This window comes from Homo sapiens, chromosome 20 (genome assembly GCF_000001405.40).
Source record: "Homo sapiens chromosome 20, GRCh38.p14 Primary Assembly".
Taxonomy (NCBI): Eukaryota; Metazoa; Chordata; class Mammalia; order Primates; family Hominidae; genus Homo; species Homo sapiens.
In genome coordinates this window covers 59,489,964-59,512,273 of record NC_000020.11, presented here as the reverse complement: position 1 = coordinate 59,512,273, position 22,310 = coordinate 59,489,964, and the positions used below count along the sequence as shown (strand labels likewise).

Below are 22,310 nucleotides of genomic sequence, written 5' to 3'. Positions count from 1 at the left end.
GTTAAAGAAATTGAGGAATACCTTATAATCTTACAGTTGAACTTGAAAATATCAATTAATATCAACATATCAATATTTTAAATATAGAAATATTTTAAAAAATATTATGAGGTTAAATTGATATTTTTTGATATTTTCTTCATTCTCTGTCTACTAAAATGCTTTAGAAAAATACAACTTGGCAGTATTTTAAAGTGAGCACACACCTAACACCCAGATTTTACCCTCTAAATACTATCCTTCATTGCATTATTCTGAAAAATGATAAATAACAAGAAAGAATAAGATATTTATCTGGACTTTCCTATATGAAAATCTCAGGGTAACCAAATTGGTGGTAAGAGAGAATGCTGGCTAATGATTTCAAAGAGAATGACAGATCTAGGTGAGAGTTATCAATGGATGCTCAATTGTGGAAGTGAAATGTTGGTGGGACCATGACACTGGCTCCATCAGGCCCAGGCCACCAATGTGCGAACCAACTGCTCATGTTCAGCATCACTGAAGGTGAAATGACGTAGCCACACGCCCTGTGGGGCAAAGCCCACCTAGGAAAGATGCCCTACAAAGTGGCATGGATGCGGTGAACAGGGAACACTTCTACGCCGCTGGTGGGAAAGTAAACTAGCACAACCACTATGGAAAACAATGCGGAGGTTCCTTAAAGAACTAAAAGTAGATCTACCATTTGATCCAGCAATCCCACTGCTGGCCATCTACCCAGAGGAAAACAAGTCATTATCCAAAAAAGATACTCGCACACGCATGTTTATAGCAGCACAATTTGCAATTGCAAAAACGTGTAACCAACACAAATGCCTATCAATCAACAAGTGGATAAAGAAACACATATATATATATATATATATAATGGAATACTACTCAGCTATCGAAAGGAACGAACGAATGGCATTCACAGAGACCTTGATAAGACTGGAGACTGTTATTCTATGTGAAGTAACTCAGGGATGGAAAACCAACTATTATATGTTCTCACTCCTAAGTAGGCGCTAGGCTATCAGGATGCAAAGGCTTAAGAATGACACAGTGGACTTGGAGGACTCAGGGGGAAAGGGTGGGAAGGGGGTGAGGGATTAAAGACTACAAATAGGGTGCAGGGTGCAGTGTATACTGCTGGGGCGATGGGTGCACCAAAATCTCACACATCGCCACTAAAGAACTTACTTATGTAACCAAACACCACCTTTTCCCCAATAACCTATGGAAATAAAAAAAAATTTAATTAAAAAATAAATAGATCTGGTAATAATCACTAATATTTAATGATTAGGGACAATTAGTTCTTCACACTTCAAGATTTATGAATGACAACTTTCTTTTTTTTTTTTTTTTTTTGAGACGGAGTCTCATTCTGTCACCCAGGCTGGAGTGCAGTGGCAAGATCTCGACTCACAGCAAACTCCGCTTCCCGGGTTCACGCCATTCTCCTGCCTCAGCCTCCCAAGTAGCTGGGACTACAGGCACCTACCACCATGCCCGGCTAATTTTTTTGTATTTTTAGTAGAGACGGGGTTTCACTGTGTTAGCCAGGATGGTCTCGATCTCCTGACCTCGTGATCTGCCCGCCTCAGCCTCCCAAAGTGCTGGGATTACAGGTGTGAGCCACTGAAAAATGTCATTAAAATTACCTATAGAATAATATGAATTAAATAAATGCTATTGCTGTGCCTCAGACTTTAAAAAACAAAAAACAAAACCAAAGTGAGTTGCCTCTAATAAACTTCTGATCTACATATCTCTACAAGCTGCAGAATACACAGGGAAGGTTTAAGTTGCAGCCCAAGGAAGCAACTACCCGAATCCAGCATGTGAGTCATCCCAACACCTAGATGACAGGTCTGCACTGGGGGTGAAATAGTATATGCAGGGGAGAAGGATGATGGTTATACAACAGAAGGAGCTTAAGAATAGGCACCAAAAATTGCAAATGGCCCTCAATAAACAATGTGGCCCAAGCTTGTTCAGAAGAAGAGAAATCCTGATTAAAATTAATATACCATTTCTCTTTAGTCCATTTGTCTCATATCCAAAAGTTGGACTTCATTCTCTGTTGAAAACACTGTGAAACAGACATTCCTATACATCACTGGTGGGAAAGAAAAATAGAATGAGAAAGCATTTCTATTTTTTTTTTTTTTTTGAGACAGCATCTTGCTCTGTCACCCAGGCTGGAATGCAGTAGCACAATCATGGCTCACTGCAGCCTCAACCTCCTGGGCCCAAGTGATCCTCTCACCTCAGCCTCCTGAGTAGCTGGTACTACAGGTACATATCCTCACGCTCCACTAATTTTTTATTATATTTGTAGAGACAGGGTTTCCCTATGTTGCCCAGGCTGGTCTTGAACTCCTGGCTTCAAGTGATCCTCCTGCCTTGGCCTCCCAAAGTGCTGGGCTTACAGGTGTGAGCCACTGCACCCTGCCGACATTTTTTTAAAGAAAAAATGGTATATTCATTTTATCCTTTAACCGAACAATCCCACTTCTAAGAGTTCATTCTAAAGATTCATGGGCAAAAATATAAAAAGGTATTTGTATAAGGCTAATCGCTGCAGCTTTCTTTTTTTGGCAATACCTGGAAACAATTTAAATGCCCATGAAGAGGGGACTGGTTGAATATACTATGGTACACCCACACAATGGAGGATCATTCAGCAGAAAAAGGAATGAGTGTTTTTACATATAGCTATGGAGTGACTCCAGTGTTATTCATTGAAAAATGCCAAGTGGGAGAAAGTATGTATGGTATTTTTTTTTTTTTTGAGACTGAGTTTTACTCTTGTTGCCCAGGCTGGAGAACAATGGTATGATTTCGGCTCACTGTAACCTCCGCCTCCTGAGTTCAAGGGATTCTCCTGCCTCAGCCTCCCGAGTAGCTGGGATTACAGGCATGCACCACCACACCCAGCTAATTTTTGTACTTTTAGTAGAGACAGTGTTTCACCAAGTTGGTCAGGCTTGTCTTGAACTCCTGACCTCAGGTGATCCACCTGCCTCGGCCTCCCAAAGTGCTGAGATTACAGGCATGAGCCACCACACCCGGCCATATGACATTCTATTTATCTAAGAAGGTGGGATATAAATATGTGTGTGTGTGTGTGTGTGTGCGCGCACGTGTTGCTACACATTGAAGTTTGTGCCGCTCTAAACTTTCTATTTAAAACCTAATCTCCAATGTGATTGTATTTGGAGGTGGGAGATGATGAGGCCAAGAGGGCAGATCCCTCATGAATGGAATTAGTGCCCTTGGAAAAGAGACACCAGAGAGCTCTCTTGCCCCTTTCACCACGTGACAAGACAGCCATCTATGAATGAGGAAGTGGCCCTCATCAGACCCTGAGTCTGCCAGTGCCTTGACCTCAGACTTCCCAGCTCAGTACTCTGAGAAATACATTTCTGTTGTTTATAAGCCACCTAGTCTACGATATTCTGTGATAGCAGGCTGAACAGACTAAGACAGAAACACACTTGCCTATCTTTGAGATGGAGTCTCACTCTGTCTCCCAGGCTGGAGTGCAGTGGCACAATCTTGGCTCACTGCAAGCTCCACCTCCCGGGTTCACGCCATTCGCCTGCCTCAGCCTCCTGAATAGCTGGGACTACAGGTGCCTGCCACCACACCCAGCTAATTTTTTTGTATTTTTAGTAGAGATGGGGTTTCACCATGTTAGCCAGGATGGTCTCGATCTCCTGACCTCGTGATCCACCCGCCTCGGCCTCCCAAAGTGCTGGGATTACAGGCGTGAGCCACCGCACCCGTCCTATCTTTTTAAAAGGAAGAATAAACCAAAAATGTTTAAAATATATCTACTTGCAGAAAGAGTCAAGGACCAGTGTAGAAGGGGCAGGAATGGGAGCCGGACTGCTCAGGGTATATCCTGTCAGTAAACATGACTCTAGAGCCATGCAAATATTTTGACATAATTATGTAAAATCAGTTCTAATTATATAAGATTAATTCATAAATAGTAATGAAATTATATACATTTTTTAAAAGCAATCCCTAATAATTGCAGTCAAGCTGAAACAACTAAACTTAACACTGTATCGTTGGTAGAATAGCCAGACATAGGGACTCTCCCGGTTGACTTTAAAACACAGATATTTGACTGTATGTTCCTAGTAAGTTAAATCAAAAAGAACATGAAAAAAAAACCTAAACTGATTTTAGTGACACTGATTTTGCTGGTAATGCTGTGTTCCATTGTGGCAGTGTCTTGGGTAGATTGCAGGAGAAAGCAATGGGATAATTACTTTGCCACTGGCCGCTGAAGTCTTTAGAGTAGGAGGAAGAAGATGCAGACGTGAGATCAATGAGGTTCAGTAAGTCCCAAGAATTCTGAATCTAATTATAAAGGATCAGTATAAACTCAGGATATATTTTATCATATATATATATATATATATTTCCTAGTTTTATCCTCTGACAAGGCCTAGAAACAATGACCACTGCAGTAGCAATGCATACTCCCAGCACATAGATTGTGGTCGCTACTTCATTTTTCTCTAAAAGGAACCAGGATTCCTTAGAGAAATAACTGATTATTTGTCTCAGGCAAGAAATGTTCCAGATAATCTTGGAGCATTTTATCATAACAGGAAGTGAGGACATTATCAAAGCCTACTAAGGTGGTATCTGAGAGACCCAGGTGTCAACTTGGATAAATCCCACCAAAGACAGGCTAAGGTAAGCAACCACTAACAGTGATAACTGCCATGAATGGAGACACACATACAATGTTTAAATTAAAAAACCATAATTTTACTAAAAAAAACCTCATTGATCATGTTTTAAGGATCCAACTCAATATTTTGGAAATTGATTTAAAAAAAAAAAGGTTCAATCATCTTCCTGCTTTTCTTATACAAACTATACCACATGATAACCAAACAGTGAAGAAAAATGTATCTTTATAAAAGCATTATAGCTCCAAGTAATAAGTGAAGAATTGATAGAATTAAAATATTGCTATGTTGTGACCCCTGATTAAGTTAACAGATTTAGGCAGTAGCTGTATATGGCTCCAAACATCAGAAAAGGAGAGACAGGCAGGATATGCTCCCGATGGGTGTAGATCACTCCTCCTAGGAAGTACTTTTGTTTCCCCACTTCCAAAAAAAAAAAAAACTAATCAAACTTGAACATAATCTAGCCTCTGGGCATAGCTATCCATTTACAGGAAATATGGAAATACAGAGAACAGAAGAATGTGTTTAAAAGTCAGCCGGGCACAGTGGCTTACACCTGTAATCCCAGCACTTTGAGAGGCCGAGGCAGGTGGATCACCTGAGGTCAGGAGTTCGAGACCAGCCTGGCCAACATGGTGAAATCCCATCTCTATTAAAAATACAAAAATTAGCTGGGCATAGTGGTGCATGCCTGTAATCCCAGCTACTCGGGAGGCCGAGGCAGGAGAATTGCTGGAACCTGGGAGGCGGAGGCTGCAGTGAGCCAGGATCGTGCCACTGCACTCCAGCCTGGGCAACACAGTGAGACTTTATTTAAAAAAAAAAAAAAAAAAAAAAAAAACAGAGGAAGAGGAAGAGAAGGAAAGTGTGTGTTTAAAAACCACATGGGAGGGCACCGGGCATAGTGGCTCACGCCTGTAATCCCAGCACTTTGGGAGGCCAAGGTGGGGGGATCACTTGAGGTCAGGAGTTCGAGACCAGCCTGGCCAACATGGTGAAACCCTGTCCTACTAAAAATACACACGCACAAAAAAAAGCCAGGTGTGGCGGTGGGCACCTGTAATCCCAGCTACTTGGGAGGCTGAGGCAGGAGAATCGCTTGAACCTGGGAGGTGGAGGTTGCAGTGAGCCAAGATCACACCATTGCACTCCAGCCTGGGCAACAAGAGGGAAACTCCATCTCAAAAACAAACAAACAAACAAACACAAAACCACACAGTGTGTGGTTAGCAAAGTCCAGATGTGGGAAACTTTCTGGACAAATGATCTGATTTTGTTAAAATCAAGTGTGAACAAATGTGAACCTGAAAGAGCCAGTCCTTCAAGAGGATCTTGAGTGGCTAACTGGGCCTACATTTAAAATAGAGCCAGGCAGTCATTTGCTCAGTAGAGGCCACACGTGTACTCCAAGTTCCCCCAAAACCCACACCTCTGTTTTACTTTGTGACTTTCAGAGCTAACCCCAGCCAACTAATCAGAGCCCACCTGGCTTGACCAATGAGAGCTCAGTTATATTGGCCAATCAGAACTCAGCTGTGTTGACGAATCAGAACTAAGCTAGTTTGAATCCTTCTTTTACATAAATGGACCTGATTGAGAACTTTCTCTATAAAAGCCAACCCTCCCTTTGTTCTCTGTAAAGCATCTTTCATTTTACCCGGAAGGTTGTGACTCCCTGGTTTGCAAACTATTCACTAAGATAAAGTCTCTTTCCTCCAAATTCTTTTTCAGAGAACTTTTGTTCACAACATATTGAAAGGGATTATTGATTACAGATTAAGAGACTGTAGAAACATATCAACAAATTGGGATGAAAGCTTATTTGGGTCCTGATTTGAAAATTAAAAAAATCACTTGGAACCATCAGAGGAATGCAGCATTAACTGGATATTGATGTCATTAAGGAATCATTGGCTATATTGAGAACTTCTAGTACTCAAAAAGGGTGGACTATACAGTTTATAGACATTTTGGAGAAGTGAGGCGCTGCTAATGATTATGCCAGGACAACAGGCATAAAGCTGCAGGCCAAGCCCTCTGGGGGCAGGGGTTATGCAGTGAAAGGGGGATGATGAGTACATTCTTTATTCAGGGTTGGGGTGCTGCAGAAGGCACCCCAAAAGTCCGTGTCCTAATCTCTGAAATCCTTGAGTATGTTCAGTTACATAGCAAAGGGGAATTAATTAAGCCTTAAGACAGGAGAAGTATCCTGGATTATCAGTTGGGTCAATGTAGCCAGTCACAAGGGTCTTCAAAAGTGAAGAGAGAGACAGAAGAGGCAGCAATGTCAGAGTGATGTGATGTGGTTTGAGGGAGACATGGCCTGCCATTGCCAGCTTTGAGGATGGAGGAAGGGGCCATGAGCCTAGGACTGTGAGGAGCCTCCAGGAGCTGGAAAAAGCAAGAAAATAGGTTCTCCTCTAGGGCCTCCAGAAAGGACTACAGCTCGGCCAACATTGATTTCAGCCCTTTGAGGCCCATTTCAAGCTTCTGACCTCCAGAATTGTAAGATAATACATGCGTATTGTTTAAGCCACTCAGTTTGCAGTAATTTGTTATAGCAACAATGGGAAACTAATACAAATTTCAACAGATTTCATCTCAGAGGCCACATTTAGCTAGTGGTCATAGCTTCTTGGACTGGAGTGCTAAAGACTGCAGGGCCTCCTCCTGTCCTAGGTGATGACGTTCATTACTGTATCCATATAGTATGCTGTATAACAAATTGCCACAAATCTAACAGCTTAAAACAACACTCATTTATTATCTCACAGATTCCATGGGTCAGGGGTCTGGGCACAACTTCATTGGGTTCTTTGCTTAGGGTCTCACTGGCATGCAACCAAGGCCTCACTGGGCTGAGTTCTCAACTGGAGACTCAACTAGGGAAGAATCCACTTCCAGGCTCACTGACATGATGATCAGCAGAATTTATGTCCCTTTGGTTGTGCGGCTGAGGACTCCAGTTGCTTACAGGTGGTCAGCCCTCAGGTCCCTAGAGGTGCCTGCAGCTCTCTGCCCTGTGACTTGCTTGGGAAGCAGCTCACAACATGGCTGCTTGCTTCTTCAAGGCCAGCTGGGGAGTCTCTTTCCCGCCTGAAAATAACGTAACCTTATGAAGGGAATGACAGCGCATCACCTTTGCCATGTTCTGTTGACCAGAAGCAAGTCACCAGTTCTCCACAGACTGAAGGGAAGGAGATTATTCAAGGTATAACACCAAGGGACAGAGATCATGGGGCTCATCTTAGAATTCTGCCAAGCACAGTGATTGATTAGAGATGTCTGTCTTGCAAGAGGGAGGTGGTATACAAGCTGCTTATTGTGTCTATTTTGCTCTGGGATAGTATTTCTTGACCCAAGCTATAAAATAGAATCAATCGGGTTGATTTTTTTAAAAGTCTATACCAGTTAACACCAGCACAATTAAATAAGAATCGCTAGGGAAGGGTTCTAAGTATCAACATATTTTAAAAGCACCTCCTGCACATACCATATAATTCAGACACACCACCATGGTTGCATTATTATTTTCTAGAGGAAAGAACCATTGATTGTCTCCTAGAGGCTGGAACACAGCCGGGGGTGGTGAGGGTTAGGGCACAAAATGGCATCAAAACTGTGGAGTGGATGAGAAGGAGAAGAGGGGCACAATAACAGAGGTGACAAGCTGGTACAGAAATAAACAGGAAGGGGAACGCTTCCCACCAGTTGTGTTCACTTCTAGGCACTGACTCCTCCAGTCAGCATACCCCCAAGAAGCATGGTCACCATAGAATTCCCCCAAGTCCCTCCAGAGACCTTCTAAGGGGGACAGAGGAAAACTACCAGGAACTCTCAGAGGCCTGGTTCACAGGATCAAGGTTGGGGTGCAGGAATTAGGTTTCTTAGAATTGTTCTTCTTGTGCCTTAAGTTGTAAGGGGCACTAATATTTTACTCCCTATTATATGCCTGCTACTTTGAATACAAAAACTGATATACAGATATAGAAGATATTTATTCATGTATATATATATTTTTTTGAGACGGAGTCTCGCTCTGTCACCTAGGCTGGAGTGCAGTGACGTGATCTCCGCTCACTACAAGCTCCACCCCCTGGGTTCATGCCATTCTGCTGCCTCAGCCTCCTGAGTAGCTGGGACTATAGGCGCCTGCCACCATGCCCGACTAATTTTTTTTTGTATTTTCACTAGAGACGGGGTTTCATGGTGCTCGCCAGGATGGTCTCGATCTCCTGACCTCGTGATCCGCCAGCCTCAGCCTCCCAAAATGCTGGGATTACAGGCATGAGCCACCACGCCAGGCTACATTTTTAAGTTTAGGAGCTTTGAGGTATAAGGTGCATCAGGTCTGTCTTGTAACTTTACATAAGCCCAGAATGTGGCCAAGAACCCCGGGGACATGCTTGGACGTGTGCACAGTGTCCAAGGCAGGATCTTGGAGCCCAGGCAGCCCAGCCCCTCTGGCTAGTGCTCGGGGCTGCACGGTGGACGTTCTGTACCCCAGCCTCACCTCCGGTCCATTTCATGGAAAACCTGACCCTGGTTTTCATTCCCTTTGTCTCTCCTTTCTCACTCTTTCCAAATCTCTGTTGTGCTGTTCTAATTTATGTGCTACTGTGTGTCTCTGAACCCTCTTTGAATGAAGAGTGAGCCTGAAACACGCAAAAAAAAAAAAAAAAAGGTGATTTGATTAAACATGAGCTTGCATTTGTACGGGGGCTATTATGTGCCAGGGACTGCAGGAAGTCTTCTCGCGCTCCTGTTAGATCTTGAATAATAGGAGTGTTTCTCTTATTTGATAAAAGACACAGAGGTCTGGAAAGGTTCATTAATTTATACAAATCACACACCTGTGCTATGAAATGTTTGATCAGATCATACCAGATAGGAGCATGGGAATAGAAGAGCATCATCTAGCTTTGGAGGACAAATAGGGAGTGCAAGCTTGGAGGGCAGGACTCCGCCCAGTGGGTGGGAAGATGATGATTGATCATATCACTGATGAGGGCCAAAAAGGAGAGAACGGTGGAAGGATGTCACATCAACAGCCTCTGCTCTAAGTGGACAGACACTGTCCTGCCCATTAGGACCAGGCAGAGCAAGGGAGTGACCTGGGACAAATAGAGAAAACAACAGCAGCCATATACAATAAAAGTAAGGATGCTGATGTGGGGAGTTTGTGCTTCTAAACATTTGTTTGCTTATTTTCCAATAAGCAAACAATCTTATCTTACTTGAATCTCTTATCTCAATATTTTATTTTTATTTTTTGTAGAGGTGGAGTTTCGCCATGTTGCCCAGTCTAGTCTGGAACTCCTGGGCTCAAGCAATCCGCCCATCTCGGCTTCCCAAAGCACTGGGATTACAGGTGTGAGCCACTGTGCCTGGCCACGTATCTCAGTATTTCTTCATAGGAGTCTGCAGACCCTGGGAAATGCACCATGTAGCCATTCCACAAGAAAATGTTTAAAACTTATATTGCAATGTAAAATGTAAAACTCCATTGCAATGTAAAATCACAATTGAAAGACGACTTTTGACACTAGAACTTTAGAGTTTATCATTGGAATTGCTTTGAATCCCTCACACTTTGCTCCAGAAATCTTCCTGAAGGCCCAGAAGGCTGCATCTTCTCTCAGGGAGCCTGAGGTGAGCAAGACAGGATCCTTGGTGTTCCTAGATTTCTTGCTTTCTCCTAAGAGGATGTTCATAATTTTTCTTAAAAATGCCATCAGATTTGTATTCTACGAAATGATACATTTATTTTAACATTTATGCATTTAACATTGAAAATATCACCTTTCTGTATATTTTCACAAAAAAAAGGGCATTGCCGGGCACGGTGGCTCACGCCTGTAATCCCAGCACTTTGGGAGGCCGAGGCAGGCGGATCACGAGGTCAGGAGATCGAGACCATCCTGGCTAACACGGTGAGAGCCTATCTCTACTAAAAATACAAAAAATTAACCGGGCATGTTGGCGGGCACCTGTAGTCCCAGCTACTGGGGAGGCTGAGGCAGGAGAATGGCATGAACCCGGGAGGCGGAGCTTGCAGTGAGCCGAGATCGCGCCACTGCACTCCAGCCTGGGCGACAGAGTGAGACTCCGTCTCAAAAAAAAAAAAAAAAAAAAAAGAAGGGCAGTGTAGCCCTGTCCAGCAGTTAAGCTCCTCTGTCTTCCTGGCAATTTGGGCTCATTCCTTAACTTCTTGGTGCTGCAGTCTCGTCATCTGTAAAACTGTGGTAAATAGGATTGAACACACAGGATTGTTTTGAAGATGAAATGAGGAAATTCAAGCAAAGGACATAATAATAGCTGGCACAGTGCAAGGACACCAGAAATATCTGCTATTATTATTATCCTGCAGAAAGCTGCCCTCGTTTTCTTCCAAAACTTGACATAATCCCTTGATGTCACATGGGGCCCTGGGCTGGTGGAAACTCTAGGTTGTGGAGGAGAGAGTTGAGACAGAAACGGGTGGCAGGGACAGCGTGCATCAGCCACGTGGTTGGATTTGCCTTTACTCGACTCAAAACATTTTGGTTTTGTCCATTTCTCCTTTCAGTTCTTTCAATGTTTGCCTTATGTAATTGGAAGCTCTTTTATTTGGTGTATACAGATTTAGGATTGTTACATCTTCTCAATGAATTGCCTCCTTTAACATTTGCCATGTCCCTTTTTGTTCCTGATGTTCTTTGTTCTGAAATCTACACTGCTTGATGTTAATATAGTCAGTCCTGCTTTCTTTTGAGTAATGTTCTCACGGTAGGTCTTTTTTCATCCTTTTACTTTTAACAGTTCTATAGCTAAAGTAAATTTCTTGTAGAGAGAAAATAGTTGAGTCTTGCTTTTTGCCTTTTAATTGGAGTATTTAGGTTATTGTCACTTAATGTATTATCAATGTGGTTAGATTTATGTCTCTTATCTTTTAAAAAATGTCCTATTTGAAGTAATCAATTACACCTCACTGTTTCAATTTGTAGTGGTTACCCTAGGGTTTATAATATACATTTTTAACTTACCATTGCCTACCTTCAAATAATGTTATACCACTTCCCAGATAGGGTAAGAGCCTTACCACATTGTATGTACATTCCCTCCCATTTTTTGTGCTGCCTTTCCTTTGTTCTAAACTTTATTTGTATGTATGTTATAGGCCACACAATATTTTTACTATTTTTGCTTTAGACAGTCAAATATTTTCTACTTTTCCATACCTTTTGGAGGTATCTTATATGTTTACTGTATCATTTATTTTGTTTGTGTAGATACAAATTTCCAACTCATATCATTTTCCTTCTTCTTGAAGAACATAGAACATGAATATTTCTTCAGTGCAGTACACAGGTCACATTTTTCCTAAGCTTTCATTTCTCTGAAAAAGTCTATTTCATTTTCATTATTGAAAGATATTTTCACTGAATGTAGAATTCTACACTGATAGGGGTTTTTCTTTCTTTCAGTATTAAAAATATTGTTCCATTGTCTTGGGCTCACATAGCTTCTGATGAGAAGTCTGTTGTAATTGATATCTTTGTCCTTCTGTATGTAATGTTCTTCATTCTCTGGATGTCTTTAAGATCTCTTTATCTTCACTTCTTATAAGCTTGACTGTGATACATCAAGGTGTATTTTCTTTTGCATATATCCTGCTTTGTGTTCTCTGGCTTTTTGGGATTTGCAGTTTGTTGTATTTTATTAATGCTGAAGAGGTCATTGCTGAGAAGTTTCTAAATATATCTTCTTCCTTGTTCTCTCTGTCTTCCCTTTCCTGGACTCCAGTTACAGATATTTTAGATCATTGGTTATTGTCTTGGAGTTCTTGAATGCTCTTTTATGTTTTTTGTTTTTTTTTTAATTTCTTCTTTGTGTTTCAGTTGGAAATGTTCCATTGATCTATTTTCCACACTCCCCTCTCCCCTCAAGGCAATAGATCTTTGCTTTAGAAGAGTGAGTAGGGAGCTTTCCAGCTCTTCTGCATCTTGAGGCTATAGTGTCATGAGAGAGGAGAGTTGGAGAAACAGTTGGGCTTTGTTCTTGCAGCCCCTCATAAGGCTCTGTTTCCTGCCCTGCTCTTGATCTTTCTCAGCAGCATCTAGCAGAGATCCAGGGAAAAGAGCTAACAAGAGGGTGTGGAACCCCTTGAGTCTAGGCTTCCCGGGTGTTCCAAACTGTCATGCTAGCCTGTGTCAGCAGCCTTTAAGAGTTGCTACAATTTCACCTGTTTTCCCCTAGCACTTTTAGGGTGATCACCTATTCCTTCCATCTGTGCCCAAGGTAAGACAGTGTGTATGTACTCTGTCTTCAGAGGGGCTTGTCACTTCCTGGAATCTACTTCCCTAGGTTGCCTTGTAGCCTCCGCTTTCAGATGGGCTCAAAACACTTATAATTTCATAGATTATTCAGGTTAAGGTGGGAGCAACAATCTCTTGTGACTTTCTACAGCCTAAGCAGGAAGAGAGCTTCTTGGTATTGGATATTTTTAAAGACTGCCTGGCTAATTGTAAAGTGTGGACAAGCAGGGAATGGTGCCCAATTCAGTTGAACTGAAGAGGAAATCAAAATAGTAGCAACATTACCAATAAAAATATAAACAGGGATGGTTTTGCTGCTGGACAATCACTTTGTTTTTAACTCAGAGACAATTGTCAGTCATGGGAAGCAACTGTATTTCTCTCTGGTAGATGCTACAAAGATGACAGCCCAACTTTTCCAGTTCTTTGTCTATCACCTTTATTGGAAGAGATGCTCCGGGTCCCTGCAGAAGTCAGGCTCTTAAGATTAAGGGATTTGGTCCATTGCCTAAATGCCTTTGAATTATATTGCTTTATCTTTCAAAATCCTTATATTTTAGTTTCCCTAAGTTAGACATATTTGTGATGAGTAAAATGATGACATGTTTAATGGTCTAATTGTAAGATATAGGAAACACCAGTTCTGCCCTTAAACTTCACATAGTTCCAGCACATGGACAAGGACCCCTGAGGGTGAGCAACCTTCATCCAGGGCTTGAACCCAAGAGGCAGCCCTTCTGCATGTGCCCAGGTCAGAGGGCAGGCGGTCCATGCTCCAGCTTCACCCCTGCCCATTTCACGTCCCAACACATGCACTTTTCTGTTGCTCTGCTCTGTTCTGTGTGTCACTGCGACCCATGAAAGTCTCATGGAGACTAGAAGGTGTATGAATACATACTCAACAGTGGTGATCTGATTAAATAGGAGCTCCCATTAATTGGGGGGCCATTGTGGGCACTTCACATGCTCTCTCCCACTCAGTCCTGCAAGGTACATGCTAAAATTCTCATTTTTTTTTTGAGACAGAGTTTCACTCTTGTTGCCCACGCTGGAGTGCAATGGCACAGTCAGCTCACTGCAACCTCTGCCTCCCAGGTTCAAGTGATCCTCCTGCCTCAGCCTCCCAAGTAGCTGGGATTACAGGCACCTGCCACCATGCCCAGCTAATTTTTGTATTTTTAGTAGAGCTGGGGTTTCACCATTTTAGCCAGGCTGGTCTCGAACTCCTGACCTCAGGTGATCTGCCCACCTTGGCCTCCAAAAGTGCTGGGATTACGGGCAAGAGCCACCGGGCCCGGCCTATTCTTACTTGATTGAGCACATTGTGGTCAGAAAGTTTAATTAATTGATGAGTGGTCATGCAGCTGTCCCACGTCATTGATCCAGCATGGTCTGACCCCAGGTCAGATTATATCTGGAGCAGAGATCTGAAGGACACTTTCTCCCATCTCACATGCCAACCCTGAAAGCCCCTACTTCCCCATCCCCAGGCAAATAACTGATGTAGTAGGTTTTAATAGCACCCTTTTACCGAGAAGCCCTGTGGTTCTCTATAGCAAGCATTTCCCTCACCGCAATGAGTAATAAACCCAATTCATTCAACAATGAGTGTGTTCCTGAGGATCTGTGGCTGGAGGATGTGGACACAGGCTTCAATGGCCTGTACTAAATGGTCACCCACAGCCAGGACTTGAGGATGACAGTGGCTGAGGCCACAGGCACCAGGGCAGCCGGGTCTGTTGCAGGACCAAAGGGGTTCAGACATGAAACAACAAGTAATGATAATATTAATAAAAACAAAAGTAGTAAGCATAGAGAAGTTGCACCTCTCTTAAAACACTTTCTTTTATTATATAGACATAGTAAAACTTGTCTGAAGAATGTTTAATATAGAATTCTGTTGCAATGAGTTGAATTGTGGTCCCCCCAAATTTCTACATTGAAGTTCTGAAACCCCGAGTACCTTAGAAAGTGACCTTATTTGGAAATAGAACCTTTGCAGTTGCAATTAGGCAAGATAAGGTCATACCTGAGATAAGGCCCCTAATCCATATGACTGGGGTCCTTATAAAAGGGGGAAACTTGGACTTAGATGCATGGAGAGAAGATATTGTGCCGATCCAGAGAGAATGCCATGGGAACATGGGGATGGCTGCCACAAGCCAGGGGACACCTGGGGACACCAGATGCTGGAGAAGCTGGAACGGATCCTTCCTCGAGGCTTCGGAAGGTGCCAACTATGCCGACACCTTGATTCTACACTGCCAGCTTCTGGCACTGTGGGACCATGGATTTCCACTGTTCTATGCCACCTCATTCATGGTGCTTTGTTACAGCAGCTCCGGCAAACTAACCCACCTTCAGATCCAAGACAGTGTGCACAGCACTCCGGAGGAAAATTCCCAACAAGTCACATATTTTTAAAAATTCATATCAATGAGAAGTTTTACATTATCTTAACAAATATAAAAGCACAGTCATCCTGCAAAATCCGAATGGAAAGACATCTTCCTGATTTAATGATCGCGATTCTTAAATCCGAGTCTTTCACACTGGGATCTTCACATCTGTCCTGAGGGTTTGAGTGCTGTCTCCATGAGAAAGTGAAGTTGCTTGAGTTTGAGGAGCTGCATTGCCACTCTGTGTCCACCAAGGCAGTCAGAGCTGAGCAGAAACTCAGGGTGAATTCCAGATCCCGTAGCCCAGGTTCCATCCCAGCCCCAGCACGGAGTGGGTGACTTAACCTGTGTGTGCCTCAGTTATCCCATCTGTAATGTGGGGCCATTATTAGGCGCTTACCTTATAGAGTGCTGTGGGGATTTTGTCAATATATGTGTGGTTGGCTGAATAACAATACCCCCCACCAAAAGATATTCATGCCCTAATCTCTGGAAACTGTAAATGTGAACTTACAGGTAAAAAGCAACTTTGCAGATGGGATGAAGTTAAGATCTGAAAGAGGAAAGATTATCCCTGGGCCGGGATGCGGCCATGGGTATCCTTATCCGAAGGAGGCAGAGGGAGACTTGGCACATACAGAGGAGAGGGTGAAGCTGAAGCAGAGACAGACCTGAAGATGTGGGTCCTGGAGACTGGAGTGAGGACGGCACCCCTGAGGAACCGGCAGCTGGCAGAAGCTGGAGCAGCCAGGGACAGCTTCTCCCCTGGCGCCACCAGAGGGCGCACGGACCTTGATTTCAGACCTTGATTTCAGATTTCTAGAAGGGAGAGTACTTCTCTGCTGCTTTCAAGCACCCAATGTGTGGTCGTTTCAGCAGCCACAGGAAGAGCTCCTCAGCCTCGACAATATTGCCAGGGTGGGCTGGTGACCCTCTGTGGTGGGGGTCACCTCGTGCACTGCAGGGTGTCTCACAGCACCCCATCTCCACTCGATAGATGCCAGGGGCGCGCCCACCTTGTGTGATAACCAAAAATGTCTCCAGACGCTGCCAGTTGTCCCCTAGGGGGGCAGAATCACCCCAAGTTGAGAAGCGAGTGTGAGGACAGCCCTGGGGCTTGGCGAGCACGCAGTGTAACCAGGGGCTAGTTTTCATCATCTCCCTTTCTCTTAGTGCTGAGACAAAGCTGAACACTGTTCCTTCGCACATCGCCCCCAAAGACCTCCTGGGTCAGAGGGGACTGAGGGGACCCCACCTGTGAGGACATCATGGGCAGGGAAAAGGAGAGAGACTGAGGTGGCCTGAATGTAAACCCCAGTTCCTCTGGAATACTCTTTTCCCTAAGAAAAATAAATTTGAATTTGGTATTCTACAAAAATATTACAGCTGTATTTGCACGTGGATACAAAGTATTCCTTTAAGTCCTTGGATCATGTCCACTCCGTGACACTGCCACCCAGCGCAGCGCCTTGGTGTGGGAGCTCGGTCCCCTCTTGGGCACCACGGGACACAGGGCTGCTGTGTGGGTGGAGCAGGAGGTCAGGATCAGTGCAGGAACTCAGCAGGCCTCCAACGCCAGAGGCAGCCATCATCATCCACACTGAGGAAGATGCACTATTTCAACCCAAAGACTAAACCACAGGCCCATGTGATGTCGGGAAGTGGTCACTTCTTTTTTTTTTTTTTTTTTGGAGAGGGAGTCTCACTGTGTTGCCCAGGCTGGAGTGCAGTGGCGCAATCTCAGCTCACTGCAATCTCCACCTCCCAGGTTCAAGAGATTCTCCTGCCTCAGCCTCCCGAGCAGCTGGGATTACAGGCATGCACCACCACGCCCAGCTGATTTTTGTATTTTTAGTAGAGACGGGGGTTTCACCATGTTGGCCAGGCTGGTCTCGAACTCCTGACCTCAAGTGATCCATCTGCCTCGGCCTCCTAAAGTGCTGGGATTACAGGCGTGAGCCACTGCACCTGGCCACTCCTCTTCTTTAGAGTCCAGTTGGCAGCGCTTCCCGGCAGATCCAGAGTTCCCAGAGGAGGAAGGGGATTGCGTGTTTTGAGGAGAGTGAGTCACGCCCGTCTAAATGAGGTCAGGAAATGATTGCGGGAGAAGAGCATTCGTGTACACAGAGGACACGCAGGCCTCCACGACCCGCGTGCTGAATTCGGAGACGGCAGTCCCCTCCAAAGGCCTGGTGTCCCTGCAGCTGCCCAGGCTGGTGGGTGAGCAGGGGTGCACAACGATCCCCCCATACCACAAGCACCTCCCAGGTCATGATCCCTCACCCTCTCTGTGTCGAGGGACACAGCAATTGGGGAGCACTGGGTTCTTGGGGGTTCAAGATCTCAGTGCAGGTAATTTTTTAAAATTCTCCTTTTATGCCTTCCTATCTCCGTGCCTTGTCCTATAAAATGTGAGAAGCGGCCTCACCCCTGTGCTTCTAGAGACATGTACACACAGCGGTGTCTGAGGGCTGTCACACAGTAGTGTCACGACAGATTGGATGGTCCATTATTTGAACAGTGGCTCATGCCATCTGTGGGTATATCTGTACCCCAACACAGGACTCGGACAAAGGGGGAGCCCATATGTGAAAGCGGAGGGCCTGAAGAGGATGGATGCAAAGAAAGCGCCATTCAAAGAAGCTGGGAGAAAGTTCTAAACTTTCTGAATGAGGAGGGAATTGCTGTTTGGTTGGAGGTAGCCAGGTGGAGGGTAAGCACTTGAGAGGAAAGCCCCCAGGCCTCTTCCCCAGGAGCAAGAAAAACTGCTTCTGCATGGTGGTGCTGAGGGCTCTGAGCTGTTTCCCCCAGGGAGAGGGCTTGCCCTGGGCTGGGTTTCTCGGACCCTGAAAGCCAGAGCCTGGTTGGAGTGATGCCCCAGGAGCTGCCTGGATGAGACCTGTCTGTCCCCGTGGTCCCCAATCTCCAAGCCCTTTTCTCAGCCATTAGAAACATCATCAATCTCCAAACTTCCCAGGGCAAGGTATCCTCAGAGTAATGCTCACTTTGTGTCTTATCTAGATTTCCAGAGGGAAGAAGACCAATTCCCCAAACTTAACATATGAGAGCTTAAGACACCACTCTCTGGATATTTGAGTGTAGGAGACAGTAGCCTTGTATTAGACTTTGCCTAGTCCAGATTTTGGTTCATGGATGACCATATCTGAACTGGCAAATAATTCATCAAGGGTGGGGCATGGTGAGTCAGCCCACAGTGCGCGGGACCCCGGTGGTACCAGCTGCCGCAGTACAGCATTCACCCTAAGACGCTTCCTTCTGGTACAGAGACCTCCTGGAGGGGTGGCGGGTCCACCAGCCATTCCTTCCACACACATGGGTCTTGGACAGCAGCTTTTTAACAGGCTGTACCTCAGAACCACCTGCAGACCTTTAAATAATCTGATGCTCAGCCCCATTCCATTCACTTAGGTCAGGATCTCTGGCAACATGAGTATATTCTCAAACACACCCCACATGAGGTTCCTGAGTGGCCAGATTGGAGAACCACTGGTCTAATGAGACAGCCTCCTCTGGCATAGGGAACGGCAGAATCATGGAATTTCAGAGGATAGAATGTGGGAGGGAGCGAGGGAAGAAGGCGGGCAAGGCGCTGGCATGGAGCAGCATGGAGCTGGTTTGAGAACAAGAAGAAGGAGAATATCAACAGCAAAGATACTAACATCCAGAAATGTCCAGAATAGTCGTGCTGCCGTGTAATTGCTTTGCACTGTGAATTGTGGATGTGATTATGTTTCTTTTTTTTTTTTTTAGATAGAGTCTTGCTTGCTCTGTCACCCAGGCTGGAGTGCAGTGGTGTGATCTCGGCTCACCGCAACCTCCGCCTCCCAGTTTCAAGCAATTCTTGTGCCTCAGCCTCCCAAGTAGCTGGGACTACAGGTGCACACCACCATGCCTGGCTAATTTTTTTGTATTTTTAGTGGAGACGGGGTTTCACCATGTTGGCCAGGCTGGTCTCAAACCCCTGACCTCAGGTGATCTGCTCCCCTCGGCCTCCCAAAGTGCTGGGATTATAGGCGTGAGCCACGCACCCGGCCATGGATGTGATTAGGTTTCTAACAGCTGAAAGAGGAGCTACAGCAAGTCTTCACCAATTTTTCTATCAAATTCTTCCAGAGTTGAACAAATAGAAGGTCCCCATGTACCCTGCTGAGTTTGGAGTGATAGGATGAAAGCATTCAATTTCGATCACTTTTTTTTCTCCTTGAGCTTTAAAGTTAATTAAAATTTGATGTTTTTCTCCCTATTTATGCATGTCTTTTGGGGTATGAAATAATGGTCTTTTTTATTTTCTAAGTTTTCAAGGTAGAAGATGTGCCAGGGGCTTTATATTATCCCAGTCCACAGCCAGGAGCCAAGGGTAATTGGGCCCCCGCTCTGGAAAGCACAGGCTCAGAGCCCAGTGTGAGGTCCACCCGCCTTTGGCAGGGACCAGGGATGACAGGACCCGGGGAGGAGAGAAGGTGATTTGTACTCTCACCTCCTCCCAAGCTGCCTGGGTTCCTCACCCTTGAGTTCATTCCTGTTGTCTCACTTTCTCACTTACCCTGTCTTTTGAGTTTATGTCCGAGGCAAGCCTCTGAGTCCGTCTCTGAATGGAGGGAGAGAATGTAACAAACACATCACAACAGCAATTTGATGAAACAGGAGCTCCTGTGTATAAGGGACCATCATCGGCAGGGATGGTGTGAGGGTTGAGCCCACCCAACAACACCCACTGTGGGTGTCCATCGCCCTCTGAGAGGAAGTGGACAGTAGAAAGGTCCATTCATAGCCAGGAGCTCCCATGGCTGGCTGAGTTGCACTTGGTCCAGACACCTTCGCCAGCAGGCCAGACAGAGACCAGGGTGGAAATCTGAGTCCTTTGTGTAGTTGGGGAGGGAAACAGGCTCTGTCTACAAGGAGAACACAATGGAGTCGGTGGGGTTTCCTTCAGGTCTGCTGGGTAGATGGGTTGGGGAGATGGGGAGGGAGTGGCTGTGCTGGGACCCACATCCCGCTCTAGATAGACAATGCCATCCAATCCATTCGGACTTCCAGAGAGGGCTGTGCATTGGGCGCTGGAGAGTTGCCGGCTAAAAAGGTGAACAAAGGCAGCCTTGACTAGGGACAGCATGGCTATACTCCTAAGCAATAGTTTTGCTTTATCCTGAAGAACACAACCCATCAGCCATCCCAGTGTTGTTGGTGACTGCAGACCCATGGGGATGCGTGGGAGATCTAGGCCAGAGCTTTGTTTCATGATATGTTTTCTCTTTTTCTGGGTTCTTTTCAGTGGTAATTTTTCAAAAGTTTTTGTTTTGTTTTGTTTGTAACAAGTTGAAAGATAAATCTGCTCTGTTGAATTATTAATTTAAAATTGAGGCTGGGTGCAGTGGCTCATGGCTGTAATCCTAGCACTTTGGGAGGCCAAGGCGGGTGGAACACAAGGTCAGGAGATCGAGACCATCTTGGCTAACACGGTGAAACCCTATCTCTGCTAAAAATACCAAAAAAAAAAAAAAAAAAAAAAAAAATTAGCTAGGCGTGGTGGCAAACGCCTGTAGTCCCAGCTACTTGGGAGGCTGAGGCAGGAGAATGGTGTGAACCCGGGAGGCAGAGCTTGCAGTGAGCCGAGATTGCACCACTGCACTCCAGCCTGGGTGACAGAGCGAGATTCTGTCTCAAAATAAATAAATAAATAAAAAGGAAATAAAATTGAAAGATATTTTCATCCTCTAAAACTTGAGATTTTTAAATCCGCAGTTTTCAGCCTACAGGGTCCTCAAACAGACTTAGAGCTCTTTGCAGCTTCTTTTTCTCTAAAAGAAAATCGGCTCAAGTTGGGGAAATGCTGATGGAATGGATCCGACTGTGCCATAATGACTGAGAGAAAACGGACGGCTTTCTCCATCCACATTCTCCACCTCAGTGTCCCAGAGGCACAGGGAAAAAGCCGAGCTCCTGCGGGAAGTCTGGGATGCGCAGAGGGAACGCACCATGGAGTGGTGCGAAGTCCCAACATTTTTGTTATTTCTTCAAAATGCATTCAGAGCTTGTATCCCACTAAATAACACAACTGCATTTATTTAAATGGAACATTTGTTTGATTTCATATAAAACAAGTTTCTCAAAGAAATCCTGCCAGCACAGCAGTGTATGTATTGATTAAGAGCCCTGGTTTAGGAGATGCACTTCCGGAGTTCAAGCCCTGGCTCTGTGTTTCATTAGTTCTATTTTTTAAAGCCATAAGGAAGAGTCCTTAACCTCATTGTGCCTCAGCCTACCCACCCTGGTAACATCAGGATAATAGCCGTATCTATATCACAGGACCGTTGTTAGAATGAAAAGCAATCATTCATGTAAAATGCATAGGCCCGTGCTTGGACAGTGTGAGCCCCGTGCACAACCATTAGTGATGTCTGTGTCCTTGGAAGAGGCACCACTTCATCCTGCAGCTTTCTCAGCCCTTGGCACGCGGCCCGGGGTTCCCTACAGGACAAACTCCAGGTTGACGAGAATGAGTTTATAAGCAAATCAGTGGTCGCTTCTAGCAAGTATGTATTTCTCATTCATGGTTTCTGTTTATGGTACTTTCTATTTTTTTCCTTTGCTTCATTTTTAATTTTTTATCCCCACCTCTAATTTTTGTTCTGTTGCTGTATTATATATTTTCCTATGATTCCAATTTAGCCAGCTTTATTTTTTATTTTTTATTTTTTGAGACGGGGTTTCACTCTTGTTGCCCAGGCTGGAGTGCAGTGGTGCGACCTTGGCTCACTGCAACCTCTGCCTCCCGGGTTCAAACAATTCTGCCTCAGCCACTGAGTAGCTGGGACTACAGGCATGCGCTGCCACACCTGGCTAATTTTTGTATTTTTAGTAGAGATGGCGTTTCATGTTGGCCA

At 44.8% G+C, this 22,310-nt stretch overlaps 2 annotated features.

The window, feature by feature from the left end:
• Positions 15,866 to 16,366: an enhancer, noted in NCBI's record as "H3K4me1 hESC enhancer chr20:58070963-58071463 (GRCh37/hg19 assembly coordinates)". NCBI's record gives its function as "activates a minimal SCP1, AML or CMV promoter by ChIP-STARR-seq in naive H9 embryonic stem cells {active_cell/tissue: H9 hESC(naive)}" and the evidence as "EXISTENCE:reporter gene assay evidence [ECO:0000049][PMID:30033119]".
• Positions 16,079 to 16,128: an enhancer, noted in NCBI's record as "active region_18188". NCBI's record gives its function as "activates an Ori minimal core promoter by ATAC-STARR-seq in GM12878 lymphoblastoid cells {active_cell/tissue: GM12878}" and the evidence as "EXISTENCE:reporter gene assay evidence [ECO:0000049][PMID:35858748]".